The 9,026-nt window shown below is 47.5% G+C and overlaps 1 long non-coding RNA gene across 1 annotated transcript in view, besides 1 other annotated feature; it reads left to right on the forward strand.

Annotated features, from left to right (window-relative positions):
* The window catches only part of LOC149684 (uncharacterized), a 28,773-nt gene extending 20,303 nt beyond the window's left edge, over positions 1-8,470 (forward strand). The window contains exon 2 of the long non-coding RNA NR_104170.1: positions 8,239-8,470. This is a non-coding gene — a long non-coding RNA (uncharacterized LOC149684). The remainder of the gene's footprint in view (positions 1-8,238) is intronic.
* Positions 6,142-6,643: an enhancer, noted in NCBI's record as "H3K4me1 hESC enhancer chr20:36915021-36915522 (GRCh37/hg19 assembly coordinates)". NCBI's record gives its function as "activates a minimal SCP1, AML or CMV promoter by ChIP-STARR-seq in naive H9 embryonic stem cells {active_cell/tissue: H9 hESC(naive)}" and the evidence as "EXISTENCE:reporter gene assay evidence [ECO:0000049][PMID:30033119]".
* Positions 8,471-9,026: the final 556 nt, after the last annotated feature.

Genomic DNA, 9,026 nt, shown 5'->3' on the forward strand with positions numbered 1-9,026 from the left:
TGGTAATTTATACAAGAAAGAGGTTTATTAACTCATAGTTTTACATTGCTGGAGAGGACTCAGGAAATTTACAATCATGGTGGAAGGCAAAGGAGAAGCAGGCACCTTCTTTACAGGGTGACAGGATGAAGTGAGTGCCAAGCGAAGCGGGAAGAGCCCCCTTATAAAACCATCAGGCACACACTCACTATCACAAGAACAGCATGGGGGAAACTGCCTGCATGATCCAATTACCTCCACCTGGTCCTGCTCTTGAAATATGGGTATTATGGGGATTATAATTCAAGATGAAATTTTGGGTAGGGACACAGCCAAACCATATCATTCTACCCCTGGCCCCTTCCAAATTTTATATCCTCACATTTCAAAGCACAATCGTGTCTTCCCAACAGTCCCCCAAAGTCTTAATTCATTCCAGCATTAACCCAAAAGTCCAAGTCCAAAGTCTCATCTGAGACAAGGCAAGGCCCTTCTGCCTATGAGCCTGTAAAATCAAAACCAAGTTAGTTACTTCCTAGATACAATGGGGGTCCAGGCATTGGGCAAATACACCCATTCCAAATGGGAGAAATCGGCCAAAAAGAGGGGCTACAGGCCCCATACAAGTCTGAAATCCAATAGGGTAGTCATTAAACCTTAAAGTTTACTATGTAAACTTTAAGTAAACCAAAATGATCTCCTTTGACTCCATGTCTCACATCTAGGTCATACTGATGCAAGGGGTGGGCTTCCAAAGCCTTGGGCAGCTCTGCCCCTGTGGCTTCAGAAGGTACAGCCCCCTTCTCAGCTGCTTTAGTTGACTGTCATTGAGTGCCTGTGGCTTTTCCATGTGCATGGTGCAAGCTGTCAGTGGATCTACCATTCTAGGATCTGGAGGACAGTGGCCCTCTTCTCACAGCTCCACTAGGTGGTGCCCTAGTGGGAACTCTATGTAGGGGCTCCAACCCCACATTTCCCTTCCACACTGCCCTAGCAGAGGCTCTCCATGAGGGTTCCAACCCTGCAGCAGACTTCTGCCTGGACATCCAGGCATTTCCATACTTCCTCTGAAATCTAGGCAGAGGCTCCCAAACCTCAATTCTTGACTTCTGTGTACCCACAGGCTCAACACTACATGGAAGCCACCAAAGCTTGGGGCTTTCAGCCTCTGAAGCAATGGCGTGAGTGGTAACTTGGCCCATTTTAGCCACGACTGGAACTGAAGCAGCTGGGAAGCAGGGACGCACCATGCCTCAAGGCTTCACAGAGCAGCGGGGGCCTGGGCCCAGCCCACAAAACCGTTTTCCCCCCTAGGCCTTGGGACCTGTGATGAGAGTGGCTGCCATGAAGGTCTCTGACATGCCCTGGAGACATTTTCCCCATTGTCTTGGTGATTAACATTTGGCTCCAGGTTACTTATGCAAATTTCTGCCGTAGGCTTAAATTTCTCCCCAGAAAATGGATTTTTCTTTTTCTATTGCATCCTCAGTCTGCAAATTTTCCAAACTTTTATGCTCTGCATTCTTTTGAATGCTTTGCCACTTAGAAATTTCTTCTGTCAGATACTCTAAATCATCTCTTTGAAGTTCAAAGTTCCACAGGTCTCTAGGGCAGGGGCAAAATGCCACCAGTCTCTTTGCTAAAGCATAGCAAGAGTGACCTTTACTCCATTTCCCAAAAAGTTCCTCATCTCCATCTGAGACCACCTCAGCCTGGACTTCATTGTCCATATCACTATCAGCATTTTGGTCAAAGCCACTCAACAAGTCTCTAGATAGTTCCAAACTTTCCCATATCTTCCTGTCTTCTTCTAAGCCCTCCAAACTGTTCCAACCTCTGCCTGTTACCCAGTTCAAAAGTCAATTCCACATTTTTTAGTATCTTTATAGCAGTGCCCCACTCTTGGTACCAATTTACCGTATTAGTCTGTTCTCACACTGCTGTGAAGAAATATCCAAGACTGGGTAATTTATAAAGGAATGAGATTTAAATTGGCTCACAGTTCCACATTGCTGGGTAGGCCTCAGGAAACTTACAGTCATGGTGGAGGGCAAAAGAGAAGCAGGCACTTTCTTCACAGGGTGGCAAGATGGAGTGAGTGCCAAGCAAAGGGGGAAGAGCCCCTTATAAAACCATCAGATCTCGTGAGACTCACTCACTGTCATGAGAACAGCATGGGGGAACCCTCCACCTGGTCCCCCCTTTGACACTTGGGGATTATGAGGATTATAATTCAAGATGAGATTTTGGGGGGGACACGGCCAAACCATATCAGACTTAGAAAACAATACCCCAAAATGAAGGCCTCAGAAGTGAGTTTCTTCTCTGACCCCCTCCTGCCCTCCTAGCTCTCAGTCCTATTCCTGAAGGCTAGCCATAGAAACTAGCATGTGCTATAGAAACCAGAACCTCTTCTCCCCAAAGCTAGTCATAAAACCTAAAAATACTACTCTAATTTTCCCTCCAACTTTCTGTATAAAAACTGGCCATAAAGAAATGATCTTTCCTTTGACTGTAGGTCATAAGACCCCCCATTCCAGAAAAGGTCCTGCCCCATCCCCAGAAGGAAGGAGCACTGCTCAGAGAGGCCAAGAATAATCTAGATAGGCGGGTCATGCTGGGTTCCCACTCATTCTATCAGCATTCGATCAGACCTTTTTGTCCAGTCGTATTTCTACATGGCTGTTTATACTTCATGGAACCTAAGCATAAAAATGAACAATTTCCTCTGTATCTTTGGGTCTTCATTCTAAAGACTCCCGTGAATACACATTAAATACATTTGTGTACCTTTTCTCCAGTTAATGTGCCTTTTGCAAGGTGATTTTTCAGAGAACCTTTAGGGGGCTCTCCCTTGGCCCCATGCCAGCAAAAGGTTTAAACAGAGAGGTGGGGGCATGCCCCAGGTTAGATTTTCAAGTTCCTCTGACTTCCATGTGGAGAATGGACCAGGTGGCAGCAGGAGGGCCAGTGAGGCATCTGTTACATGGACCGGGCTGGAAGTGATGGTGGCCTGGATGGTGGACGGAGGGCATGGGGGGCTGAGGAGGAGAAATGGGGTGCTGAACTAACTAGCAAAGGGGCAAACCCATAGGGCTAGGCTGGTTGCTGTTGCTGGGTTGGTCAGGGTGATGGCAGGTCATGGGAGGAAGGCAGGCCCACCTCTTAGACAGAGGCAAGCAGGGATGAGCAAGGCTGGGGAAAAGACACATTTAGTTTTGAACGCCTGAGCCTGAGGCTCCTATGGGACATCCCTTCTCAGGGATGATGATCTGGGGCTCCAGAGAGATCTGAGCTGGAGAGGAGGTTGAGGAGTTGTCATCATGATGGGGGGTTGGGAGTACTGCCTGACCCACTTGTCATTTGCCTTGGCTCATGACTATTGAACTGGGAGATAAGGGGGCCCAGGACAGAACCCCAGAACCCAGGAAACCCCCAGGGTTAAAAGATGGAATAGAAGCTCACAAGGAAGGGAACCAAGGAGTTGTCTAGGCCCCAAGGAGAATGAGGGGAGTGCCAAAGGATGCTTCAGTGGGAAAGAGACAGGCAATGTTAAAGTTGTCCCCAGACCTACTAAATCAAGGACGAAAATATGTCCCTGGAATGTTGGCAGGCAGTAAACAGAATGACACTGCTCTCAACAGACTGATGTGGATCTATCTGCAAGGTTGGCATGTGTCTGTAGTCCCAGCTACTCAGGAGGCTGAGGTGGGAGGATCGCTTGAGCCCAGGGGTTTGAGGTTACAGTAAGCTATGATCGCACCACTGCACTCTAGCCTGAGTGACAGAATGTGACCCTATCTCTAAAAGTAAAAATTTAAAAATGCCAGGCACGGTGGCTCATACCTGTAATCCCAACACTCTGGGAGGCCAAGGCAGGCAAATCATTTGAGCCCAGGCGTTCAAGACCAGTCTGGGCAACATGACGAAACCCCGTCTCTACAAAACATACAAAAATTTGCTAGGCGTGGTGGCACATGCCTGTAGCCCCAGCTACTCAGGAGGCTGAGATGGGATGATCACCTGGGCCTGGGAAGTGGAGGCTGCAGTGAGCCAAGATTGCACCACTGCATTCCAGACTGGGTGATGAAACAAGATCCCCCCATCTCTAAAAATAAAAATTAAAAGAGGCCAGGTGCAGTGGCTTATGCCTGTAATCCCAGTACTTTGGGAGGCCAAGGTAGGCAGATCACTTGAGCCCAGGAGTTCAAGACCAGCCTGGGCAACATGGTGAAACCCCATCTCTACAAAAAATACAAAAATTAGCCAAGCATGGTGGTGCATGCCTGTAGTCCCAGCTACTGGGGAGTCTGAGGTGGGAAGATCACCTGAGCCTGGGAAGTCGAGGCTGCAGTGCATGGAGATCACAGCACTGCACTCCAGCCTGGGTGACAGAACAAGACCCTGTCTCAAAAAATAAAATTAAATTAAAAGAAAGGTTGTATTTGTTCCCTACTGCTAGGTACCAAATGACTCCACAGCCTAGGGGCTTAAAGTGGCAATGAACAGTTTCTGTGGTCCAGGAATTCCGGAATGGCTTAGCTGGGTGGCTCTGGCTCAGAGCCTCTCATGAGGTTGCAGTCACAATGCTGCTGGCCAGGGCTGCAGTCATCTGAAGGCTCAACAGGGGCTGACGGATCCACTTCCAAGATGGCTCACTCACATGGCTGATGAGCTGGTGCTGGTGTTGCCAGGAGGCCTCAGTTCCTCATCCTGTAGACCTCTCCACAGGGCTGCCTGAGTGTCCTCACAGCATGGTCTCCCCCAGATCGAGTGATCCCAGAGGGAGCACCATGGGCCACCGTGTCTCATGACCTAACCTCAGAAGTCACACACTATTTCCACAATGTCCTAGCACGGTCAGCCCTATCCAGTGTGGGAGGGGATATTCATGAAGGCAGGGATTCCTGGGGACCATCTGAGGCTGGCATCCCCAAGACAAAGAAAGTGTAAACATGAAGTTCTCAGCAGTATGTTTCATTCACAAAGATTTGTGGAAGCTTTTTAAAGGCCCCCCAACTACATAACACACGATAGCTGATATGGTTTGGATCTCTGTTCCCACCAAATCTCATGTAGAATTGTAATCCCCAGGGTTGGAGGTGGGGCCTGGTGGGAGGTGATCGGATCATGGGGGCAGAGTTTCCATGAATGATTATCACCATCCCCCCTTGGTACTGTATAATGAGTGAGTTCTCACAAGATCTGGTTAAGTGTGTGGCACCTCCCTGCTCTTTCTCTTCCTCCTGCTCCAGCCATGTGAAGTGCTGGCTTCCCCTTCGCCTTCCACCATGATTGTAAGTTTCCTGAGGCCTCCCCAGGAGCCAAGCAGATGCCAGCATCCTGCTTCCTGTCCACCCTGTGGAATCGTGAGCCAAATATCTCTTCTTTATAAATTATGCAGTCTCAAGTATTCCTTTATAGCAGTGCAAGAATGGACTAATACAAAATCTTGTGCTTATACTGTCCTAGAACATCTCTGGAAGGATGTACTGTTCACTAACTTTTTGAATCTCACATTTTTCTATTCCTCTAATAAATATATGTTTTAAAAATAATTATCGGATAATCAAAAGGAGTGTCCACTGAGTTTGGAAATACGTTTTTTCATATATCCAACCCACAGATATTTGCGAAGCTGCTACTGTGCATCAAGCTTTGTTCTTGGCACTGGAAATGGTGAAGGGAACAGAGCTTCGCCACCCTCATGGGCTGGGTTCTTTTCCTAGGGCTGCCATAACAAAATGCTACAGATGGAGTCACATAAGCAAGAGAAATGTATTGTCTCACCATTCTGGGGGCTAGAAGTTTGAAATCAAGGTGTCAACGGGGTCGGTTATGTTGAGGGCTGTGAGGGGAGGCTCTGTTGCAGGCTGGCTTCTTAACTTGCGGGCGGCCGTCTTCATGTTCACGTGGCATCTTTGCCATATGTACGAGTGCCCACATTTCCCCTTTTTATAAGGACACCAGGCTATTGGATTAGGGCCTACCCTAATGACCTCATTTTAATGTGGGTTCCTTTGTAAAGACTATTTATTCAAATAAGGTCACATTCTGTGATATTGTGGGGGTTGGGAATTCAACATAGGAATTTTCAGAGGAGGGACATAATTTAACTCGTAACATTGGCCTTACGTCGAGTGAGGGAGATGATAAGCAAAGGGGTCTATAGGGCCTCAGGAGCCCAGGGAGCTGGAGAGGGAGAAAGCAGCCCCGGGGGAGGTCCACAATGGGCAAAGGCAGGGTTGGCCTGTGGGTAGAAAGTGGGTGGGAGCAGAAGAAGTGGATGGAGGGTGGAGAGTCACCAGGAGACACGTGCAGCTTTGAGGAGCTTTGGCTGAGCAGGGAGTCCAGAGTGGTGGCTGGAGGGAAACCTGGGATCTAGAGGGAGTCTTATCTGATTTTATGATGAAAAATCTTGTAAGCTGAAAAGACAAAAAAAAATGCAGAAAAGGAGGGCAAGGCCGCAGGTTGAGGGTTGGGCCTCTTCTGGGTGCGGAGAGGAAGAGAGGGAGGGAGGAGAGGCAGGTGTGTGTGCATGGTGTGGGGTAGGAGATCTGCTGAGTAAGGAGGTGCCAGGCTGCAAGGGCCCTGAGGAGGGAGAAAGCTCAGGGTTTGGCTGAGGGACACAGGAAGCTTGCAGGGAGTGGGGGCTCCCAAGCCCTCTCTCAGCCCTCAGACCTCCCTCCCAATCCCCGACCCACCCCGGCAGCTTCTATCCTTCCGTTTCCTTCCCATCTCTCCCAGGGTCCCTCCTACGGCCCGTGGATCTGTCCCTCCCCACAGCTGTCCTGCTGATCAATGGATGCTCTGTTCTCTCTGGCTCCCCTCCACGTGTCCCCGCCTAGCAGGGGCCATGGCCTCACCCCGGGGGTGCACAGGCCTGTGGTCAAAGCAATCTCCATCTGGCCACAGGGAAGTTCCGCCTCCACAACTATGACAATATTTGAAATTCTTCAGAAGTTGCATTTTATGTTATCACACCCATTGGGTCCTGCCCACCTTTTGAAAACCCTCCAGGGACCCCCGACTGCTCAGAGAACAAAACCCAAACACTTTAAAGTGACCTCCAAGGCTCTGCATGCTTCAGCTTCTGCATTGCTTTGTAGCAGCGTTTTATCTTGAAATAATTTTAGCTTTACAGAAGAGTTGCAAAGACAGTATGAAAAATTCCAGTATTCCTTTTCTCCGGTTCCCCTCATGTTAACATCTTACATCACCATAGGACATTTATCAAAACTAAGACATTAACATTGGTACAATGATGTGTTACTTTTGTAGGAAATGATAGTAATTATGGATTTTTTTCATTTTTATTGTGGAACATGCCATAGAGACAAAGGCATATATGTACAGTCTGAAGAATAACAATAAATACCCTTGAACTCACCAATCCATTTAAGAAATAGAATACTGCTGTTACCCCCGACACTCTGCATGCTCCTTCCTGATCAAACCCCCCAGCCTCAATGATTGAAGCAGGGATGTTAATTTATGGGGGTGACTGATGACATAGAAAGAAAGAATTGATTACTTACAATTCCAAGACAAGGCATCACACAGTGCCACAGAGGGCCACGGAGGCAGCACCAGGAAGCCGTGCAGATGCCTGCGTCATGCTTCCTGCACACCCTGTGGAGTGTACACCCTTGGGTGAGGAGGTAGAAGCAGGGGCAAAGACAGCACTGGGCCAGAGGCTTTATTGGAGTTTCCAGGACAAATGCAAGGCAAGGCAGACTAAACATCGTGCTCTCAGAACGGCACACAATTTAAAACTCATTAATTGTTTATTTCTGGAACTTTTCAATTATTTTCGGACCGAGGTTGACCACGGGTAACTGAAACCACAGAAAGTGGAACCGCAGATAAGCGGGGGCTGCTGTATAGCATATGATCATCTTCATGTTACAACGCTTCTATTTTCTTTTTTGAGACAGAGTCTTGCTCTGTCACCCAGGCTGGAGTGCAGTGGCGCAATCTCAGCTCACTGCAACCTCCACCTCCTGGGTTCATGCGATTCTTCTGCCTCAGCCTCCTGACTATCTGGGATTATAGGTGTGAGCCACCAAACCCAGCTAATTTTTGTATTTTTAGTAGAGACAGGGTTTCACCATGTTGGCCAGGCTGATCTTGAACTCCTGACTTCAAGTGATCCGCCCGGCCTCGGCTTCCCAAAGTGCTGGAATTACAGGCGTGAGCCACCGCCCCCAGCCAATGTTTCTATGTTCGATTGTTAATGGCGATCTGGTTTCTCTCCAGGTGCACAATGCTTCTTTGAGTATCTCCGTGTCTGTGGCTGATATCCAGATGCAAGGCTTCTTCCGGGCATCCCTGGGAATGGGAGTGCATAGACATACTGGTCAAATTACAGCACAGCCTCTACACCTTTACTGAAGATGGAAAACTGTTTTCCAAAGTTGACTTGCCTAACATGATGTAACTATCATGCAAAAATAAAAATAAAATTAAGAATAAAAATTTAAAAATGAAAGTTTACGTGTTCACCAGCTCCCTCCAGACGCTCATCTGCCTTTGGTGCTGTCTGACTTTGTTTGTTTATTTATTTATAGAGATGGGGGCTCCCTATGTTGCCCAGGCTGGTCTCAAACTCCTGGACCCAAGCCATCCTCCCAAAGTGCTGGGATTACAAGTGTGAGCCACCACGCCAAGCCTGACTTTAAGATTTTTGCCAATCCAGTGGGTATGTAAAGATATCTCAGTGGATCTTAATCCACACTTCTTTGATTGATAATGAGATTGAGCATTTTTCTCATGTTTTTAAATCACTTATGCTTCTTTTATGAAATTCCTGTTCTTTTGTTCCCCAATTTCTATTGTGTTATTTATCAATCTTTTTCTTATCGTTCATAGGCGTTTTTCTATATTATGGATGCTACTCCTCGGTTAGTCATGTGTGTTTCAAATCTTGCTAATTGTGACTCGTCTTTTCATTCTCTGAATGGGGTCTTTTCATGAAAGGGCCCTCTAAATTTTAATGCAGTCAAATTTGTCAACTATTTACTTTATGGGTTAAACTTTTTAATCTC

The sequence above is a fragment of the Homo sapiens genome, chromosome 20, assembly GCF_000001405.40.
Source record: "Homo sapiens chromosome 20, GRCh38.p14 Primary Assembly".
In the NCBI taxonomy this organism is placed as follows: domain Eukaryota; kingdom Metazoa; phylum Chordata; class Mammalia; order Primates; family Hominidae; genus Homo; species Homo sapiens.